Source organism: Homo sapiens, chromosome 4, assembly GCF_000001405.40.
Source record: "Homo sapiens chromosome 4, GRCh38.p14 Primary Assembly".
NCBI lineage: Eukaryota > Metazoa > Chordata > Mammalia > Primates > Hominidae > Homo > Homo sapiens.
The window spans coordinates 150,754,167-150,777,520 of record NC_000004.12 but is presented as its reverse complement, the minus strand read 5'-3'; the positions used below and the strand labels follow the sequence as shown (position 1 = coordinate 150,777,520).

Below are 23,354 nucleotides of genomic sequence, written 5' to 3'. Positions count from 1 at the left end.
AAGGGCATAGATAACTACATCTTAACAAATCAATGTGGATATTTCATTGAAGAACCTAAACCTTTAAATTTTTATATTTTTATAATAAGGAAAATGAAACAGTTTGACATGAGTTCAGGTTTAAAATTTTTTTTTTCTTTATTCTTTAATATAAATTATGTTTGGTTTCTGAGAGCAAAACTTATAAAAAAGGGTAGTATTACTACGAGTAGAAATGGAAATAAACTCAAATTCCATTTGGTAGGTTACAATATTGAATTTAGATCCGGTGCAGTGGCTCATACCAATATTCCCAACACTTTGGGAGGCCAAGGCAGGAGGATTGCTTGAGGTCAGGAATTTGAGGCTACAGTGAGCTATAATCATGCCCCTGCACTTTGCCTGGGCGAGAGAGTGAGACCCTGTCTTTTTCAAACAACAACAACAACAACAACAACAACAACAACAACAACAAAACCCCTCAAAAAACTGACTTTAAAAAAAGTACAGATTCTTAATAGTTAGCTTATAATACTTTTGTATTTTCATAGTTTTTTTCATATTTGTAAAACTTGAATGCATGTTCTATTTTTTAGAGATTTTCAAGAATAATCTTGGATAAATACCTGTTGTCCAGTTACAAAAATATGTGTGTATTACAATTTTTATTTTTTATTCATCTACTATTCTATATATTTAGGGCATATGATTTATTTTTATTTTTATTTTTTTGACACGGAGTCTCACTTTGTCATCCAGGCTGGAGTGCAGTGGTGCGATCTTGGCTCACTGCAACCTGTGCCTCCTGGGTTCAAACAATACTGCCTCAGCCTCCTGAGTAGCTGGGATTATGGGTGCCCGCCACCATGCCCGGCTAATTTTTGTATTTTCAGTAGAGATGGGGTTTCACCATGTTGCCAGGCTGGTCTTGAATTCCTGGCCTCAGGTGATCCACTGGCCTTGGTCTCCTAAAGTGCTGAGATTACATGCGTGAGCCAGTGTGTTCAGCTGGGCATATGATTTTTAATTTAAAATTTATTTTTCATCAAATAAAGCACCCAAATAATAGTATAATACGAAACAGATAAACAATAGTTCTCTGCCTCTTTTCCCCCTCTTCCCCGTGATTGATTCTTAACTCTTGGAAGCAGCCACATCTTTCAAATGTTTTTGGTTGTTGACAGTGATATGCTTGAATTACTATTTCTTTTTTTGTTTGTTTTTTGAGACACAGTCTGGCTCTGTCACCTAGGCTGGAATGCAGTGGCATGATCTTGGCTCCCTACAATCTCTGCCTCCTGGGTTCAAGGGATTCTCCTGCCTCAGCCTCCCTAGTGGCTAGGATTATAGGCGTGCACCACTGCACCCAGCCATGAATTACTGTTTCTTGATTTTTAAACTTTGAACATTAATCTTTTGTGAAAGACGACCATTGAGTACTTAAACTCCTCTCCTTTTAACTTTCACTCTCCTGCTTCTTTCTAATATACTTTCATAATAACATTTGTTAAAACCATACTTAGTATTTACGTTATTATCATGTATTTATGCCAGAGCTAAAAAATGTACTATGAATTACATATTTTTCTTTCTTTTTTTTCTCCCCTCTTTTCTCCTCTTCTGCCCTCCTCTCTCTTCTCTGCTCCTTCTTCTCTTTTCCCTCCTCCTCTCTTCCCTTACTCGTCCTTCCTCTCCCCTCTCTTGCTTGCTGGTCTTTTTTTTTTTTTTTTTTTTTTCATTCTTTCTTGTAGAACTAATGATTTTGTCCTTTTTCCTTTACTTATATTTCTGTGCACTCACCACAAATTGATCTTTAAATTTTTCTCTGTAATCATAAAACGCATTGGAAAAAGTGGTTAAACCCACTGGATATTTATTGGTTCAATTGTTTTGCTTGGAAATATAGCACCTAGAGTCCCCTTTTTCCTATTCCAATCTAGTCTGGTTGTCCTTTAGATCTATAGGAAGCTTTTATGTTAGACGCTTCTTTTATCATCAGCCTAGAATTTCCCTCTTTCCTCTCTTATGCTGCAATCACTGTGTGTGTGTGTGTGTGTGTGTGTGTGTGTGTGTGTGTGTGTGTGTGTGTTCCATTGCAGACTTCCTTTTAGAAATGTATGTTGATTGAACATTTGTGGATCACTAATTCATATGTACTGGTCACTGTTTTAGCACTGGGGATGTAGTAAGGCTTTGTCTCTAAATAAATAAAATAATTTGGGGAGATTGGAACTTTGGAGTAGATTTATAATGTAAGACCTACTTACTCACACTGCAGGGTCTTGAAGATACACTTCCGTGTACTGTGAGAAATAAATTTTTAAAGGGAGGCTCAGCTTTCTTGAAGAGCTCTACGACTACCCTTCTTTGTAGATCAGACCTTATGGTAGGAACTACAGCTGGTCAATTAGAAAACCTGAACGCATTGGGAGTAATTGGATCCTGAGCTGGCAGGAGCCAAGTGGTGGCATTCAGTCACCAAAGGCAAGTTGAATGTGGTCACCATAATGGACAGCAGAGTCAAAGCAGCAAGCAGAACTGTGATGCTGATTTGACTGGAGCAGATCTATGACATTGGTGAATTGATCATGGTGTATGTAGGGGAGAAGTAGATAGTATGCCTATTAATTTTTTTATTTTACCTGTATACGCAGAAAAGTTCTAGATCAAGTGAACAAATACCTAACTTTAATCATAAAAGCAGTGAGTCATGGCCCCTCAATCAATTTCCCAAGTTGAGCCAATTTACAGGACCAGAACTTTGTGAAGGAAGGGGAAGCTGGGTCCCCTTGAGGAAGGACTCATTTTCTCATGACCAGTACAAGGTTAGAAGTAACCAGGTCCACACATATATGTGTCTTTTCACAATGTCAGGCTTTTATTGATGCATTTTAATCACAAAAGCCACAAGCTACATGGATTTCTCAATGAGGCAATTATCCTTATACTTCCCGTTCACTCAGTAGTCAGAGCTGTGGGCACACAGGCTGAAGCCATTCTACAAGTCAGTCAGTATTGCAAACCATACATAATAGTATATTTAATCAATGTATAAATATTATAAGTTAAACATTCCACAACAAAGTAACATTTTAACATCGAGAGGGAAAAGAGATAGGAGAAAGGGTTAATAAACCAGTCCTTGGGGAGCGAAGAAGACAAAAGGAGTCCTGGTCTCGGCTGGGTGGTCAGTCAGTCTTACAACGACAAGTCTTTGAGGTGGTAGATCCTTTGTCAGCAGATGCCAAATTCTTATCACAAGTGACTGCAAGATGTTGAAGGCCTAATCTTTCATAGTCACAGAGTCCTCTGGTCAGAACTGATAGTGGAAGAATGTGTCTGTTGTATCCTCATCTGGTTGGATGCAATTTTTAGGTTTTGATTTATTTTTTTAATTAAACAAAACATCCTTGTTGGCAAAATGCTCCATGAAATATAAAATGGAGTCTTTTTCTAAGATAGAAAGATGTCTATGTTATGTCAAGGGTGCTCTATACACTGGTGTGCCACCAAAATTTATACTGTTAATCTTTTCCTCACTCTTCTTCAAAGGGACCTGTGACCTTTTACCAGGGTTACTGTTCACTGGGGAAAAGGAAATAATCAGATTATTGGACTTTGGCTCTGAAGTGACAATGAGTCCAAGAGACCTAAAATATCAGGGAAGCTTATGGGGGCCAGATGATCAATAGAGTTTTAGGTGAGCACTCTCTCACAATAGGCCTAGTGAGTCTTCGAATTCATCTTGTCATTATTTCCCAAGTTCTGGAATGCATAGTTGGAATAGACATACTCAGAAATTGGCAGTGTCTCCACATTGGTTTCCTGACCTATTGAGTGAGGGTTATTATGATGGGAAAGGCCCCAGGTGGAAGCCACTGAACTGCCTCTACCTAAGAAAATTATAAGCCAAAAGCAATACTGTATTTCTGGAAGGATTTTCCTCCATCAAGGATTTGACACAGGTGTGGTAATTTCCAGCATATATTCATCTCACTTGCCTATTTGGCCTATGCAGAAGACACATGAATCTTTGAGAATGACAGTGTATTATTATAAGCATAACCAGGTGGTAACTCCAAGTACTGCTGCTGTACCAGATGTGGTTTCAATGCTTGAGCAAATTGACACATTCCCTGGCACCTAATAGACGTGACAAATGCCTTTTTTTCTCCATACTTGTCAATAAGGACCACTAGAAGTCGTTTTCTTTCAGCTAGCAAGGCTAGCAGTGTCCCTTAACTGCTCTATGTCAGGAGTATCTGGCTTTCTAGCTGTATGTCATAATTTAGTTTGCATGGATCTTTATCACTTTTCACTTCCACAGAGAAATCACAGTCGTCCATTACATTGATGACATTATGCTGGTTCCACTTAGTGAGCAAGAAGTTGTAACTACCAGACTTTTTGGTAAGGCATTTGCATGTCAGAAGTTGGAAGGTAAATCCACCTCAGTGAAATTTCTAGGGCTCCAGTGTTGTGGGACATGTCGAGATACCCCTTCTTAGGTGAAGAATAAGTTGTATCTGGCCCCTCCTATAACCAAAAAGGTACATGCTAGTGACCGTTTATGGCTTTTAGATGAGATTGGGCATTTTCAGGGTGGTATGGCTGTAGACTCTATGGATTTTAGAGGCAACGTATTCCTCATTTGGATATGTTACTCTGTCCCATTTTCTGAGTTACCTGAAAAGCTGATAGTTCTGAGTAGAACTCAGAACAAGAGAAGGCTCTGTAACAGGTTCAGGCTGCTGTGCAAGCCATAGGCTCCAGGAGATCTAATGGTGCTTCAAGTGTCAGTGGCAGATGGGGATGCTATTTGGAGCCTTTGACGGGCCCCTTTAGGTAAATTGCAATGCAAACCCATAGGATTTTGGAGCAAGGCCCTGACATCCTTCCCAGACAAATATTCTCCTTTTGAGAAACAACTCTTGGCCTGTCACTAGGTTTAAGTAGAGACTGAACAGTTAACACTGGGCCACCAAATTAACAAGTGACTGAGCTGCTTATTATGAACTGAATGTTATCTGTCCTACTAAGCCATCAAGTTGTACATGCACAGAAGCACTCTGTCATCAAATCGAAGTGATGTACATGTGATCAGGCCCAAGCAATGCTTGAAAACACAAGTAAGTTGCATGAAGTGGCCCAAATATCCTATGGTCCTCAGTTCTGCTACACTACCTTCTCTTTGCCAGCCCGTACCTATGGTCTCTTGGTGAGTCCTGTGATCAGTTGCCAGAGGAGAAGACTTGGGCCTGGTGTATAGATTGTTCTGACAATATGCAGGCACCACCTGAAAGTGAACAGTTGGAGCACTACAGCCCTTTTTTGGGACATCCCTGATGGACTGTAGTGAAGAATAATCTTCTCAGTGGACAGAACTTTGAGGAGTGTACCTGATTGTTTACTTTTTTTGGAAGGATAAATGTGATTATTAATTCATGGGCTGTGGCTATTGGTTTGTCTGGATGGTCAGAGACTTGGAAGGGACATGAGTAGAAAATTGTTGACAAAAAAAGTTTAGGGGAAGAGGTATGTGTATAGATGTCTATGAATGGGAGAAAAAATCTGAATACTGTGTATTTGTGTCCTATGTGAATGCTCACTGAAGGGTGACTTCAACAGAGGATAATTTTAATACTAAAGTGGCTGGGAACACCTGTTCTGTGGATACTAGTCAGCCTCTTTCCCCAGCCGCCCACCAGTGCCCAGTGAGCTCATGAACAAGGTGGCCATGGTGGCAGGGATGGAGGTTATCCAAGGACTCAGCAACCTGAACTTCCACTCAGCAAGCCAACCTGGCTGTGGCCACTGCTGAGTGTCAAATCTGCTGGCAGTGGAGACCAACAGTAAGTCCCTGATAAGGCACTGTTCCCTAGGATGATCAACCTGTTACCTGGTAGCAAGTTGATTGCATTTGACCCCTTCCATCATAGAAGGGGCAGCATTTTGTTCTTATCAGAGTAGACACTCACTCTGGATACAAATTTATCTTCCCTGCATGCCGTACTTCTGCCCAGACTACCATCTGTGGATTCACAGAATGCTTTATCAACCTTCATTGTATTGCTTAGCATTGCTTCTGATTAAGAAATCTATTTCACAGCAAATGAATGCTCATGGAATTCACTGGCCTTGCTATGTTCCCCACCATCCTCAAGCAGCTGGCTTGATAGAACTGAATGTAGGTGGCAATACCTTATATGGCTGGGACAAGGTTTTCCAGAAGGATATATGTGTACTGAATCAGCATCCAGTATATGGTGCTGTTTCTCCCCACAGGTAGGATTCATTGGTCCAGGAATCAACAGGTAGAAATGGGAGTGTTACCACTTGTTATTACCTCTAGTGACCCAATAGCAAAAGTTTTGCTTCCTGTTCCTGTGATCTTACAGTCTGCTGGCCTAGAGGTCTTACTTCCAAAGGGAGAAATGCTTCCACCAGGAGGCACAACAATGATTCCATTGAACCGGAAGTTAAGATTGCTTCCCAGCCACTTTGGGCTCCTCCTGCCTCTGAATCCTCAGGCAAAAATGGAGTTATCATGCTAAGAGTAGTGATTGATCCTGACTACTGTGGGGAAATTGAACTATACCACAATAAAAGTAAGGAAGAGTATGTCTAGAATACAAGAGATTCCTCAGTGCATATCTTAGTATTACCATACTGTGTGATTAAGTTGAGGAGCACTGGTAATACAATCCAGGTAGGACTACTAAAGCAGCCCAGACCCTTCAGGAATGAAGCTTTGGGTCACCCTATTAGGTACAGTACCAGGACCAGCTGAGGTGCTTGCTGAAGACAAAGGGAATACAGAATAGGCAGTGAAAAAAGGTAGTTGTAGATACCAACTGTGATCACATGACCATTTACAGAACAAGAAATGTAATTGTTACATTTCTTTCTTATTTTGTGTGTGTATATGTGTTTGTGTGTGTGTGTGTGTGTGTGTATATATATATATATATAAAATCTTTGTTTTCTTTCCTCTTTTAATCCCTCACCATGCAACTTAAGATGTATTGAGTTTATAATATCAACACCATAGTATTTAAGTATTGTTAACTGTAGATCATATTGTTAACTGTACATCCTAGTATGTAAATATGTAAATTGTGGGATATTAGGAAAGTATACATATCAGCTAAGGTGGGGAATGGGTTTATATTAGGGTTCTCCAGAGAAATAGAACCAATAGGATATATATAGATACAGACAAAGAAATTTATTATGAGGGATTGGCTCATGCAATTATGGAGGCTGAGAGGTCCCATGATCTGCTGTCTAAAACTTAAAGGCCCGGGAAAACCAATGGTGTAAGTCCCAGTCTGAGTCTGAAGTCCTGAGACCCTGGAGTGCTAATGTGAGGGCAAGTGAAGAGGATGTCTTTCCCAACAGAAACAGATGAACTCCCACTTCCTCTGCCTTTTCATTTTATTCGGGCCCTCAACAAATCGGGTGATTGATGCTGACTCACACCGGTGAAGGTAGATCTTCTTTACCACTTCAAATGCTGATCTGTTGTGGAACAACCTCACAGACACAACCAGAAATCATGTTTTATCAGCTCCCTGGGCATTTGTTAGTCCTGTCAAGTTGACACATAAAATTGACTGTCACAGGTTTAGAATGGTTTTGGTTGTATACAGAATAGTTGTATCATGTTAGGTAGAATTATAACCTTGTTATTAATCTTCATTTGGTAATGAAATGTGGTTTGAGGAGATGTATATGAGTGCCAAGCTGACAAGGGGTGGACTTGTGATGGTTAATTTGTGTGTCATTTGGGTCACAGGCTGTTTAGATATTTGGTCAAATGTTATTCTAGCTGTATCTGTGAGAGTCTTTTCTGGATGAAATTTAAGTTTAAATTGGTAGACTGAGTAAAAAAGATTGCCCTCCCTGTTAGTGTTGGGCATTATCCAATCAGCTGAATGCCTGAATAAAACCAAAAGGCTGACTCTTCCCCCAGTAGAGAGAATTTCTTCTGCCTAACTGCCTTCTAATTATGACTTTAGTTTTTTCTCACTTTTGGATTCAAATTTGTCTCTTCCTGGGTCTAGAGGCTGCTGACCTTCAGACTGTGCCATTGGTCTTGCTGACTCATCCTGTAGATATTGGCACTTGTTAGCCAATGTAATTGTGTGAGTCAGTTCCTTATAATCTCTTCTCTCTTTCTCTCTCTGTCTCTGTGTCTCTCTGTCTGTGTCTCTCTCTGTCTCTCTCTCTTCCCATTCGTTCTGTGTCTCTGAAGAATCCTGATTAATACCGGGGCATAGAAATAGCAGTTGATAGGCCGGGCATGGTGGCTCACTCCTGTAATCCCAGCACTTTGGGAAGCCGAGGCGGGTGGATTACTTGAGGTCAGGAGTTCGAGACCAGCCTAGCCAACATGGTGAAAACCCATCTCTACTAAAAATAATAATAATAAAAAATTAGCTGAGTGTGGTGATGCACACCTGTAGTCCTAGCTACTCGGAAAGCTGACGCAGGAGAGTTGCTTGAACCCAGAGGCGGAGGTTGCAGTGAGCCGAGATTGCGCCACTGCTCTCCAGCCTGGGTGACAGAGTGAGACTGTGTCTCAAAAAAAAAAAAAAAAAAAAAAAAAAAAGGAGACAGCACTTGATAAAATCCCTATCTTGATATTTTAGATGAAATTTAAAAAAATTTTCCTATGATATTTAATTATACTTTTCTTTAATCTTCTTTTCCTCACCCTCTTAACAATATTGTCTGTTTTCTATGAGTCGTTTTTCTCCTCTGCCTGTTTGCTTTGGTGTCTGTCATCACAGAAGAGGGTTTCCTCAAATGTCTGGTTAACTTTGGCAATTTGCTCATTCCTAAGCATAACACAGAGAAAATCTATATGTCTGGGTATGAGTTGTCCACTGGTGATGCATGAGTTCCCTTTGTTATTTGTAGAGGATTACCTTTTATCCTAGCTTCTCAATTTTCTCAGAAAAGTTTTCAAATATCACTCACAATGTCATAGTCCAGTTTGTATACTTTCAATTTATCTTGCCTTTTTCATTATAGCTTTTTAATAATTTCCTTAATTATAACTTTTCTGGAAAATAAACTTCCAATGTTTACCATGGTAGGATGGCTACACAGCATAGGGAGAAGATGTGGGATTCTAACTTTCTTTTTATGCCAACTTGCATCTCTTTCCCTCAGCCACCTTCGTATGTACTCAGTGCCTTCAATTCCTAGCTTTTCTGGAGTTTTTGTGACAAGCATTGATTTCCTTCCTCATGTTGATTCCTCTACTTTGTTGTGTAGAGTTTTGTTTTCTTTGGTCCTCTAAGTGCATTTATTACTACTAACTCATGTGTTTCCAGGTTGTAAAATAAATTTCTTAATGTATCTCATGTACTGTTGCCCCCTCTTTATTCTCAGATTTACTATGTTTAACCTGAAGTCACTCATTATCTACCTCTCTTGAAAAAAAAAACTTTTTTTTTTTTTTTTTTTTGAGACAGAGTCTCATTCTGTTGCCCAGGCTGGAGTGCAGTGGCGTGATCTTGGCTCACTGCAACCTCTGCCTCCCAGGTTTAAGTGATTCTTCTGCCTCAGCCTCTTGAGTAGCTGTGATTACAGGCGTGCACCACCACGCCTGACTAATTTTTGTATTTTTAAAGTAGAGATGGGGTTTCACCATGTTGGCCAGGTTGGTCTTGATCTCCTGACCTCCTGGTCTGCCCACCTCGGCCTCCCAAAGTGCTGGAATTACACGTGTGAGCCACCGCGCCTGGCCAAATTTTTTTTTTTTTTTTTTTTTTGCAACAAGTCTCGCTCTGTTGCCCAGGCTGGAGTGCAGTGGTGCAATCTTGGCTCACTGCAAGCTCTGCCTCCCGGGTTCACGCCATTCTCCTGCCTCAGCCTCCTGAGAAGCCGGGACTACAGGCACCCGCCACCATGCCCGGCTAATTTTTGTATTTTTAGTAGAGATGGGATTTCACCGTGTTGGCCAGGATGGTCTCGATCTCCTGACCTCGTGATCTGCCTGCCTTGGCCCCCCAAAGTTCTGGGATTACAGAAAAAAAATTTTTTAATACTAAAAGTTATGTTAAAGATCTGCCCACCAGAATCAAATGCTACTATATTTAATGTTAATCAGTATTCATGGCTTGACAAAATAAAATGATAGCAGAGTAGATTATATGTAATCTTTTTAATCTGTGGCCTGATTTTTTCTGCTTTAGAACATGCTAATATTTGGGAATTACTTTTAAAATTGAGATAAATTTATTTAGTGTATTCGTCACTAAAATACGTTCTAGGAGATTATTTATAGAAAACTGTCAAGTTCATGTCTAAAGAAATTAGAATTTTATTACAATAATTTGAATGCATAGTGTGTTAATTGGTATCTTTTTCTTTATATTTATTTGTTGAGGATAGGCAGGAATAGATAATGTTAGGTTAATGAAGTCTTTTGTTGCCCTAACTAACTTTTACCACCAAGAATACAGTCTTGAAATTTGGTGGAGATCTATGTAGTAGATTTCACTAATATGTATTATCTTCACTGTTTTTGTTGTGTGACTTAAAAGCATCAGTAAGCTAAGAGTATATTTTAGTAAAAATTGACTAGTCAACAATTATGGCCTTAGGAAGTGATAGTCAATTAAATACAGCTTAGGAACAGGTATGAAATTATTGACTCTCTTGTTTTGTTTTGAGTTCTTCCTCTCCAAAGTGCTGAAATGTGTTTTGAAATTACTTAGTTGCATTAGTGGTTGGATTTGAGGCTTTTAACATGTTTTTCATCAGTACCTCTGGGAGAAGGATAACCAAGACCTTTAAATGTACTATGCATTTTGCATCACTGTATAATTGTAAATACTGTGATGAAATATTGAAACGATCATGAAAGACGATGACCATTAAGCTTTTCTTTTAACTATTAAAACTCACTAAGGGTTATATTGAGCTGTGGTTTATGAAATTGTTTAGACTAACACCTTCCTTGATAATTGTTTCTGAAGTGGAGAAAAATGGTTTAGGATAGCATAGTTCAGGAATATTCTTTTTAGTTTTGGCAACTTCTGTGAATTACTGTAGAGAATGTTTTAGTATGGAGAAAACTTGTTGGCTTTGACTAACACCTGGATTATAAACAAATTGAAAAAATATTCTCATGGGCTTCAGATTCTTTTTATATAGGCTATTCTTTTTAGTATGCATTTGTATATCTGGCATTTGGTATTTTATTAAATGGTAATAATTAGTAATTAGGACTGTATTATAGAGAAATGAAAACATAAGGATATTCCTGAGATTTGTGATAATTTTTAACAATAACCAAAAGTATAAGGTTTGTATTTTCATTTTATTCCTAATTTTAGCCAATTTGAAAAAATTAATGAGAACATTTTATTTCAGGTTATTATGTAATAATTACTGAAGGTTAACAAATATGGGTTTATAGATGATCCTCGAGAAAACCAGAAGCATAATGTATTACTAGTAATAAATTTGAGTTTCTGAGCCTCCATAAAACACTGAACTTCTTCAATTATATATGTACCTTCATGTCTAATTTGTTTTTAATTGAAAAGAAATATTTCCTGTGACATACCAAGATAAGTTTAGATTACAAATTTTTAGTGTGGTTAAGTTTTGATAGTTATACTAACTTTAACTGGTTTTCAGTCTAACCCCAATAATGCTACTTAAAATCTTTGTGAAATCTAAATGGCACAATTTCTGATTTGACAATGTAATTAAAAGTTTCTGTATATAATGAAAATAAAATCTAAATGATGTTTACCCTTTACCTGCCTACTTAATATATGGGTCTTTCTGCTGTTATCTATTTCATCCATGTGGAGTTTTGCATTTTGTCTGAATTATGTAATAAAAATCCTTTCCCATTGCAGTTTTGGATCAGAACAAATGGATTTGAGAAAAATAGTACTAGTAAATACTTTTTTATTACTAATTTTTAAAAGACATTACTTTTTAGAGCAGTTTTACATTCACAGCAAAATTCATCAAAAGGTAGAGATTTCCCACATTTCCCTTTCCCCTACACACTCATAGCCTTCTCTCTTGTCAGCATTCTTCACGAGACTGGCATGTGTGTTATAATGCATGAACCTCCTTTGACATATCATTATCACCCAAAGTCCATAGTTTACATTAGGGTTCACTCTGGTGTTGTGCATTCTGTGAGTTTAGACAAATGTGTAGTGGTGTGTCTTCATCATTATAGTTTCATGCAGAGTAGTTTTATTGACCTAAAAATCCTTTGTGCTCCCCTCCATTCCCACTAACCCCTATAAACACGGATCTTTTTACATTTCTCCATAGTTTTGCCTTTTCCAAAATGTCATATAGTAGAAATCATACAGTATGTAACCTTTCATATTAGTTTCTTTCTCTTAGTAATATACTTTTACATTTTCTCCATGTCCTTTCATGGCTTGATAGCTCTTTTTTTTTTTTAGCGCTGAATAATATTCCATTGTCTGGTTGTACCACAATTTATCCATTCGCCTTCTGAAGGACATTTTGTTTGCTTCTAAGTTTTGGCATTTATGAATAAAGCTGCTATAAATCTCCATGTGCAAATTTCTAAGTGGTCATAAGTTTTCAACTCCCTTGGTTAAACACTAAAAAGTGAAATTGCTGGATCTTGTGGTAAGAGTAGGCTTAGTTTTGTTAGGAACCATCAAACTGTCTTCCAGTGAGACTGTATCATTTTGCATTCCCACCAGCAATGACTGAGATTTCATTTATTCTTGTACCACATCCTTGCATTAGGTGATGTCAGTGTACTGGATTTTGGCCATTCTTATAGGTGTCTAATGGTATCTAGTCTTAATTTGCCTTTCCCCAGTGACATGTGGACAATCTTTCATATGCTTATTTGCCATTTGTATATCTTCTTTGGTGAGGTGTCAAAGTCTTTGGCCCATTGTTTAATGTGATTGTTTGTTTTTGTTGACTTTTAAGAGTTATTTGTATATTTTGCACAATTCTTTATCAGATGTCTTTTACAAATGATTTTATCCCAGTGTGTGACTTGTTATTACTGATACATAGGAAAGTGGTTGACTTTTGTATATTAACCTTGTATCCTGTAACCTTGCTATTTATTGCTTATTCCAGGATTTTTTGTAGATTATTTAAGATTTTCTATATAGATGATTATGTCATCAACAAAGACAGTTTTATTTCTTCTTTTTCAATTTTTATCCTTTTCTTGTCTTACTGCATTAGCCAGGACTTCCAGAATGATGTTGAAAGATAGTGGTGAGAGGGGACATTCTTGACGTTTTCCTGACAGTGGATACTTTTAAAAGTAAAATGACTAATCTAAAGATTTATATACAGAATTTTAGTTCTTCTGTAATTACTGACTTCTTTTTTTCTAGCAAGAAAGGTAATTTTCTTCATTTTCTTCTTTAACTAAGTTTCTATTTTGAAGTTTTCTGTAAGTTAAATGATCTAAGTGAAAACTCACTCAACTTGAGGTCTCACTTTCCTTCCTATTCTTGTATTATGTCAAATTTCTAGTTGGGTTTCCAAGAATGTTATGTTAGGTATAAGAGCTGAGGAATGAACATATGCTTGTGTTGTTTGGCTGTGGCATCTCTTGAAGTATCGTACTTCTTGCTGATCACTTGCTGCCTATCCACAGAGGTCATGGTTATGTTCTCTTCATCTTCTTAAATCCTAAGCTGCTTCTGCCTCCTTCCATGATAATTTTTTGAATCTTCCTAGCTGAGGTCCATCTGTCTTTAAATTTGTTCCTGTTCTACTGTTCTTGTGCATTACTAGATTTAGGGTAAGTCTTTGAGTCTTATCTCTCTGTGCTGTGCTTGGGAAGTTAGGTGTGGGACCCTCTGTACCAAAATAAAAAAAAAATTTGAGGTTTCTGCTTTTTGTCATCATTCTCCTACCTTTTCGTGGCACATGCCCTTCTCTCAAGAATATAGTCTTGTGGAATTTGATTGCTTCCTTTTGGACTACTTGTCTTCATTTTATTTTGATGGAAAGAAAATGCTTTTAAATTAGATTCATATTTCTGTTTTATATTGGTTTGTTTTACCTCGCTGGAAAAAATTTAGTATCCCTGTTTTACAGTTTTGGTAAAATATGAATTCAGTATGAATTTTAGAGAGTATATATTGTACAATTACAAGTCATGAATTTCTAAATGTTAGTAAATTTTAGAATAATAAAAATTATACCTAGAATACACTTTTAGAAGATAATATCTAAGACCTGCAGATGTAGCACGATATGCCTAAGGATATATTCTGTTAGTATCAGAATGAGAACATGGATTTTATGAATTTGTTTCTTGCTCATTCCTTGAGAATACGTTACTTTTTCTTCTCTGCTAGTTCTAGCCAGTGACTACCCTCCAACGTTTTACTGATTTTCTATTTAATTTTTATTCTACTGTATTTGTTCTGTTAGCATAGTTATACTAATACTATTCATAAAATATAATCCTTTGACAAAATCATGTCATGTGATTGTTTTAGTCTTAAGAACCACCTTGGGTTTTTCAAAAACACAAAAGAAGGTAAGTATGAAAGTGGACATGGAAAAGAGAAGGTAGAAGAGAAAGGATGAGAATGAAAAAGAAAAGAATTTGGAGTGGAACGGAATAGCTATTAGGGTGAAATTGCATGGAATTTGAAAGTCTTAGAGTTATTACACTCAGAAAATATGAATATGGTTTATAGTGAGCAGTGGTAAGTAGCCAGACATGGCCTTTTGATTTGGGTTTTATGAAAGAACAAAAAAAGATCAGTTGAGGGATATTATGTAGTTAGAATACAAAGAGCTCCTTAAATATTAAGAAATATGAAGATTATGTATGTATTTCCAGTTCTTTAAAAGCAAATCTTTGTGTGTGTGTTTATATAGGCACACACACACACGCACATACACACAAGTGGCATTCACGAGCATTTTTCAAATCTAGGTATATTTCAGTTCATGTAGGCCTTTCCTTATTGTATTAATGCTTATTATATATATTTTTTGTTTTAAGGATTAAAATATTCATTTGTACATACTCTATTGATTGATTTCATTCCTAGGCTTTTTAATGGATTGCTTTTTAGTGGATAAAGTTTAATGGGTAAATTTCAAATGGATCAAGAATATAGTTAGTAGATTTATACCAGATATTACTAATTCATAGGGCAGTGAATTATAGTTTCTAACTCAAAACTGGTTTAGCTCAATTCACTGATTTTTCTAATTTCATTTTCAGTTGCTAGTCATCAATTTTTATGGTGAACTATGCTGTTTTTATTAGGGTTATTGAACTATTTAATTCTTTCTTCTCTTCATTTTGGGTAATACATCTTAAAATAAATGGAAAAACAAAGCCAAAACCAAAATGTCTATTTGTCCTTGGTTTTCTTTGTTACCTTCTTTCCCAGCTCCCAACTATTTCAGATAAATTAGTATATCGTGTTATGTAATGAAAAGGGCAAGATAAATATAGATAGGCTCATTTAATTTACACAGAATCAAATTGTTGCTAACTTGTTTAGTGTCAGTATACTTTTCAGTATTACCTGTTCATATGGTTTAACATAACTTTTAAGAGTTAGGCATGAAATTGATATGGGTGATATTTTTCATTATTATTGTTTTAAAAGAAAGAACCTACTGAGTGACATTTCTTCAGCTATTTTTGCTTTTTTTTTTATAGGAGTGGCAAAATTCTATTCAGAAGAATGCAGGCCTTGCTTTTATCGAACTTGTCAATGAAGGAAGGTAATTTATTTTATTTTAATTCATTTTGTATTTTTCTTTAAAATCTTGGGTTTTTCCTATAGGCATTGATATTTTTGGGTTCTGTATTTACTGTTTGTTCAGTCAGTAATGTAATGGAGCTCTGATATATCAATTATTATGTATATGTTAATATTTAACCATTTTATAATTTTCTTTAGATGCAAGCTTACTGATACATTTCTGATTTTTATTTTTCAAAAAGTGTGGCTGAGTTTGGGAAAAGTAAACTGTTAATTCTATTTGCAGGTATAAGGAAAAGCCATACTTATTTGGACTTTCTATCAAGTTATTTTATGTGTGTAGAGCCAATAATTAGAATTAGATGTCTATATTATCTTTCTTATATCACACGCTGATCATAATGGGAGGGGGGACAAGTTTCGCAATGTGATGTGGTGAGAAAGGTGATAGAGGAAATAAGGAGGTATATTTTCTACTTAAAGAACAGAAACAGAAGAATTCAAGGAAAGAAAATTCAGTGGTGGGTAAGAGAAGGGAAGAAAGTACAGAGATGAAAAGAGAGATAAAAGGGAGAAAACAAATGTAAAAGAGTGAAATCATTAAAAGGTAAAAAGAAATTGAGGAAATGATTAGTGGACCACTTTTTGTCTGATTTGTAGTAGCTGATTTTGCATTAATGGAACTGAAGACCCAGAGTATAGATTAAAAGATGTGACTGACTCCCCTTCGAGATAGTATTCTGAACAAACTTACTGTTTCAGCAATGTTCGATTAGTGTTTTAGGTAATGTTGTTGGAAGATTGACCCTATCAGTCCTTTGGTAACTATTTGAACTTGCATCTAGGAATCAAGGTTTGCTCTCTATCTCTCATAAATGTTATGGAAAAGGGCGAAAAGAGTATTCGTAACTTTATTTGATTTTAAATACTACTAAAATCCTTTCCTTCAGAAATAATTACAGGTGCTCACAGACTAGTAACCTGCAATTATAATACTTCATGCTAAATTCTGTGATAGAAATATGTAAGTACAGGGTGCTTAAAACTTAACCAGGAACCATGATTCTTGAGGTGCATTTCAAGGATCAGTACGATTTGTCATGTAAACATTAGAAAATTGGAGGTTATGGAAAAATTGGAGGACATTTGTGTGAAAAACATTTCAAACACAGGGAACAGAATATCTGAAGGCATTGTAATGTGGGAAGGTGTACAGGATATTCGTGTGTGTGTGTGTGTGTGTGTGTTGGAGAGGTGTTGTTGGAATTGGGCATCTAGATCCCTCAAGATCGTGGGAAGCCTTGGAAGATTTTAAACAAAAGAGTCATTGTGATATTTCGGGTTTGGAAAGATAACTGGCGGAATTGTTTAGGATAGGTTGAAGGAGGGAAGACCTGATTGAAATGAAGAACAGTAGCAAGGTTACTACAGTGATCTATATGAAACATAGAGATACATTTTCATGTAGAGTGTGGCAAGTAGTAGGTGATCAATAAAAACTGATATAGATTTATATCAGTGATTACTAATTCATAGGGCAATTAATGAAATAATGACTAATTCTTTACTCTTTTAGTAAACATTTCAAAGTGTATATTTATTGAAAAATAGCTTTCGACTGATTTCAACACTGAGGTATTGGATGATATTGAAGTTTATATATGGAAAAAGAGGTGACTGGAGCTGTCGATTAAATACACAAATGTTCTGCTTAATGCAAAACACCCATGAACAGATTTTTTATAATTTTTAGTGTTTATTGAAGTATAATTCCAGGGCTTTTTTAAAGAAAAATTTATATGAGGTGATTTTGAACATCGTAGACTTTACTAAGTGTAACTACCCTTATTTATGTATGTTATTGTTACATTTAATAGATGAGGCAACATAGACTTAAGATTAAGAGCATTGGCTTTGAAGATAGCCCTGGGTTCAGGTTTCAGCTTTGATACTTGACAAGCGCTTTTAGTTTTTGAGCTTCAGTTCCTCATCTATTTATTACACACTATGTCCCAGGAATTATTCTTGCTACGGAGGATACAGCAATAAACAAAATAGATAAAGATTCTTTTTTTCGTGGATTGTACATTCAAATAGGCATTGACAGATTATAAACAATAAAAAAAAAAGTAAGTTATATAATATGTGAATGACGGTTAGTACTGTGAGAAAAAATATGGAGCAGATGAGGGGAATGAAATTTTTGAAGGAAGTAAAAAAGGTTGGTATGGTTTGTAGTTTAAATAGAGTGGCAGGATTAGGACTCATTGAGAAAGTAACATTGGAGCAAGCACTTGAAGCACACAGGGAGTCAGTTAAAGGGGCATGTATGGAAAAGCATTCCAGGCCTAGGGAACAGCCAGTGTACAAGTGAGAGCTTCTGTGGTGTATTTGAGGAATGAGGCCAATATAGCAAGAAAAGAGTGATTAAAGTAGAATGAAATAGGAAGTAAGGTCAGAGAGATAACATAGGGCAAGATTTTGTGTAGAGGCTTTGTAATTTATTCTGTGGGAAATGACAGCCATTGCATGATTTTGAGAAGAAGAGGAAGACAGTCTCCCTTATGGATTAAAAAGATCACTCTGGGATGGGCACAGTGGCTCACACCTGTAATCCCAGCACTTTCGGAGGCTGAGGTGGGTGACTTGTTAGAGCCCAGGAGTTCAAAACCAGCCTGGGCAACATGGTGAAACTCTGTCTACAAAAAATGCAAACAATTAGCCTGGTATAGTGGCAGGTGCCTATAGTACCAGCTACTTGGAAAGCTGTGAGGTGGGAGGATCCCTTGAGTCTAGGAGGACGAGGCTGCAATGAGCTGTGATCATGCTACTACAATGTAGCCTGGGAGATAGAGCAAGACCCTGTCGTGGGGAAAAAATGACTATGGCTGATGCATGTAGGAATTTAAGGATAGAAGTGAAGAGATAGCCAGAAGCAGTGGCTTCTGTCTGTAATTCCAGCACTTTGAGAGGCCGAGGTGGGAGGATCGCTTGAGCCCAAGAGTCTGAGACCAGCCTGGGCAACATAGTGAGACCCTGTCTCTACAGAAAATAAAAAGAATTAGTTGGGTATGGTGGCATGCACCTGTGGTCCCAGCTACATGGGAGGGTGAGGCAGGAGGATCACTTGAGCCCAGGAGGTCGAGGCTGCAGTGAGCTATGCTCACACCTCTTCACTCCATCCTGGGCAGTAGAATGAGACCCTTTCTCAAAAAAAAAAAAAAAAAAAGACAAAGAGATCAATTAGGGGGCTATTGTAGTAATTCTGGTTAAACATGATGGTGACTGGGACAAGGTTGCTAGCAGTAGAGGAGGTAAGAAGTGGTAGGATTATGAACCTATTTTGAAGATAAGACCTGACAGGATATTCTAATGGCTTGGATGTGGGTTGTGAGAGAAAGCCAGGCATCACTCTTAAGATTTTTGGCCTTGTAAGAAGAGATACCAAATGCCTTTGTTTTGCATTATCATTCAAAGATCTTTATATAGCAGACAGCTTTGGAATATAGAAATAGTGTCTTCATTTAGAACAAAGCAGGATCGTTTACTGTCTAGTATAATAATGTCTTTCTCCAAGCCAAAGACCAACGGGCCTACTGGCCGTCACAGAAGATTCAAGTGCCCTAAGCTCAGAGTTCCTCTCTTGTAACACACTTTACTGCATATACAGGTGTCTACTGGACCTGTATTATTCTGTGGAACTGAGACTTGGAGGTACTGGCACAAATGCTAATACTCCTGCTATTGCTATTTCTGAAAATTTGGTGAAACAGTTGTTTGAATAATTTATTTTTATATCATCTGTTATCATTTTCATAGTACCCTTTCTCTGATTTTTTACCTTTGCTTTTCTTATTCTGTTGAGATTTTTTAGCTTCCCATAGTTAGAAACTGTCTTCTTTACTTCAGTGCTTAGCCTATAGAGAACACTCAGCCTTTATCTTTTACGTGTTTGAAATAAACAGTGGTGGAAGCTAAGATTCATTAGTGAAATAGTGGAGGTAAAATTGGAAATTTTCGTTCTCTCTTTATTTACAGTGTAGAATATATTTTAAAGGAAAATTTTAGTGGTTTATTTTTCTAAATCAGTGGATTTGGCTTTCCTTTTATAAATATTTAGTGCCTTGAGGTTAAATGAGTTTTCATAGGAGTAGATGTGTTTGTGAAATAGTTTGGAGTGTTTGACTACTAGACTTAATCCCAGGGGCAGGAAGAATAATAATAATGATTTTCCTTTTTACTGCAAAGACTAACCTTTTTTTCTTCTTATTATGTAAGTCTGACCTGCCTTGACCTCATTTATAGAGTAGCTGCTATAAATTTTGCCCTTGATTAATGTCGTATTTGTGTAAATAACATGAAGACCTTTATAGACAGACTACAGCATAAGGTCTAACAGACTTGTAGAGTGTCATTAGCAAATCAATTACTAAGTTCAGACATAAGTAATTGTTGTTTGGTAGAAACTGCTGATGTTGTTCTAGCTATGATCAAGGCAGCTGCTCGATGAGATGTTACTCTGTGAAATTTATAGTGATTTGCTGATGGTCTCTTTAACTTACATTTGTTTAATAAGATATTTTTAAATACATTGTTTTGGTAATTTTGAGTTCAATTATTGGTATTTTTCATGTAAACAACACTCCATTTTAAACAAATTTATTTTAGAGAGCTAGAATAATTGATAATCACTGACGTAATTGTTACAACCTTGATGACTTTAAAGAGAAAAAAATACATATACTTATAATAAAAGATTTCAGTTAAATAATTAAATTTTCACAAGTTATGAGCAAGAACATTGTTATTCCTGAATACTAATTTTGTTTATGAGTGTTTTATGATATCTTGAATCATTATTATCAGCACCTCTGTTTACTTTTTAAATGTGCAAGTGAAAGATCTAAAAGAGTTTTCTTATTCTTGAAAGGCACAACTTTCTCTAAACTAATAGTTTTAAAGAACTTAAAGAATATTAAAGCCACCTTTTAGAGTCTCTGTGATGCTGTAGCACCACATCAATAGAAAATAATGTACAGTTATTACTACTCCCTTTGACCCTGTTGAATGAAATCTGAGGATTCAGTGTTATACTAAATTTAGATGTGGTGTAGGTTACATTGTTATGTATATTGGACCTAAATTCATTTATTTGTGTATTCGATTTGTCTTTATCTTAGTTATTTTTTTCTTCACTTTACAAATGTATTTAATTGAAATTGAATTGAATTGAAAGATATATTTAATTACATTCCATAACACTGTTGCTTACATTTTTCAACTCAATTCTTTGCCAATGAATCTTGAATGTTTTTTCTTATTTGGATAAATAAAGGGCTTCAAGTTCTTATTTTGCCTTTTATTCTTATTTTCTTAGAGGTTTTGGTGATATTACTTGCAAAAAAATTTAGTATCTCAGTATTGATGTTAATTTTGCTGGCAGAAATAGATCTGGCTGCTAGGTTGCCTCCTTTCTTCTTGCCAGCTTGCTTGTGATCCCTCCAAATATTTTTTAGAGCATTTTAAGCTCCTGATGTTGTTCTAGGTAGCAGTGATCAAGTCAGCTGTTCTGAGACATTATTTTGTGAAATTTGTAATGATTTGTTGGTGGTCTCCTGTCTTATGACTTGTGTGTCTTAGAGAGAATGATGAATATTTTATTTGTTTAGGTGGTACTCTTTTTGTTCTTAACCTCTAGAATTTTGAAAAATAAGTGCAAATCCTCTATCAGAGTTTTCTGTCTTTTTTTTTTTTTTGAGATAGGGTCTTGCTCTGTTGCCCAGGCTAGAGTGCAGGGGCACCATCTCATCTCACTTCAGCCTCGACCTCCCTGGCTCAAGTGATCCTCTCACCTCAGCCTCCTAAGTATCTGGGACTGCTGTTGAGGACACCACACCTGGCTAATTTTTAATTTTTTTTTTTTTCTTGTAGAGATGGGGTTTTGCCATGTTGCCCAGGCTAGTCTTGAACTCCTGGACTTAAGTCATTCAGCCTCCCAAAGTGCTGGGATTACAGGCATGAGCCACTGTGCCTGGCCTCCTTTCATTCTTGTTCCTAGTTTTATTAATGTTTCTATTAGTTTCTCCTCATTGTTTCTATTTCATTTATACTTTAAATAAAAAAACCGGCATAGTTTTATTGGCTAATTTTTTAAATGTTTGATAGTAAAAATCAGGGAAGTAGTAGACTATGAAACCTAGTTTAAAGGTACAATATTTGGTAAAAATTTTAAGATTTAAATTCTCATCTTGAATCTTGTAATTTGTTAAATATATAAATAATTAAAACAACCTATAATTATAGTTTTGTGTTTAATTTAATAAAAACACATTTTAAGAGCTTTCATAGCCTCTTACAACTTTACTTTTAGATGTGCTGCTGTGACTCTTCTTTTTCTCCCATCCTTGGAAAGCACAGAAAGGGCAGATTATCCTGCATACTGTTGGGCACGTTGCTTAATCATCCTCTAGAGCCAGTCAGTGTCTGCTTATTACAGCAGTAACTCAGACTTGTATACAAATATATAAATAGCCCACATAAAAGACATAATGCTTCGAGTATTAATACACTGGTCTGTCTTCAAAATTCATCTACTTAGATTGCATGTCTTCTTTCTGAGCATTCATTTAGCCGCTCCATCCTTTTTCTTCACTTCTCTGAATAGCACGATTACTAATAATGTTGGTGGAATGAGAAGAAGAATGACTAGAAGGAAAGGTGGAGAGGGAAAAGGGAGAGAGGGAGAGAGGCCAGAAAATATTTCATTTGGACCCTGTTGGCCATTAGCACTTGTATTTTAGATCTGGGTTATCCTTTGATAAAAAGACAAAGGTATTTATTGCACGTAAGTAAACAGTGTGGCTAGAATATATTCTTATCTGTATCAGTGGAAGATAAAATTTGAATTGAGGTAGAGATTATCACTTGGAAATCCTTGAGTGTTACTTAAAGAGCCATGTGCTTTTTCTGGTTTCAGTTTTAAAATTATATATGTGGGAAGATACTTTATAGAAAAACTCCAATTAAATTTTTTTATTGTAATTTTTTTTTCTTTTAAGAGATAAGTTCTTGCCTTGTCGCTCAGGCTCAAGTGATCTTCCTACCTTGGTCCCCCAAGTTGGTAGGATTACAGGCGTGAGTTACTGTGCTCTGCTTAATTACATCTTGTAAACAGTTGTTTGGAAATGATGCTATTTTTAGGGTAGAGTCAGAGATCAACAGTGGATTAATTGAGCAGAGACTTTATCTCTCTCTCTCTCTTTTTTTTTTTTTTTTTTTTTGGTGAGACAGGGTCTTGTTCTGTCACCCAGGCTGCAACCGCTTAGCTCCTGGGCTCATGTCTTTATCTCTGTTTACTTCAATCCTGGATTGTATTAGTATAGAAGTTTCTCTGGGTGATTTAGAATAAAGTATATGCTCTTATATGCTCTTAAAGATTAGATTATTTAAATTAATGTTTATCATTTTGTGAAGGTTTAATGGCTTATCAAAGAAGATTAGAATTTTCTCTCCTTAATTAGGATAAGCATATGTTTCTTATTTATTTTATTCATATGTTTTGGCTTAAAGTACTGACATGGTCAGGTCATTTTTTATTTTTAATTTTATAGCTTGATCTCAGCTTATCATTAATAT

The 23,354-nt window shown here is 36.3% G+C and overlaps 1 protein-coding gene across 9 annotated transcripts in view, besides 1 other annotated feature; it reads left to right on the top strand.

Moving 5' to 3' along the window:
- Positions 1-23,354, top strand: part of LRBA (LPS responsive beige-like anchor protein) — a 751,293-nt gene that overhangs the window by 238,207 nt on the left and 489,732 nt on the right. For all 9 annotated transcript variants that reach the window (XM_047416462.1, NM_001367550.1, NM_006726.5 and 6 more), the window contains exon 35: positions 15,674-15,738. In XM_047416462.1, the coding sequence (XP_047272418.1) occupies positions 15,674-15,738 (65 nt within the window). The remainder of the gene's footprint in view (positions 1-15,673; positions 15,739-23,354) is intronic.
- Positions 7,977-8,116: an enhancer, noted in NCBI's record as "active region_22015". NCBI's record gives its function as "activates an Ori minimal core promoter by ATAC-STARR-seq in GM12878 lymphoblastoid cells {active_cell/tissue: GM12878}" and the evidence as "EXISTENCE:reporter gene assay evidence [ECO:0000049][PMID:35858748]".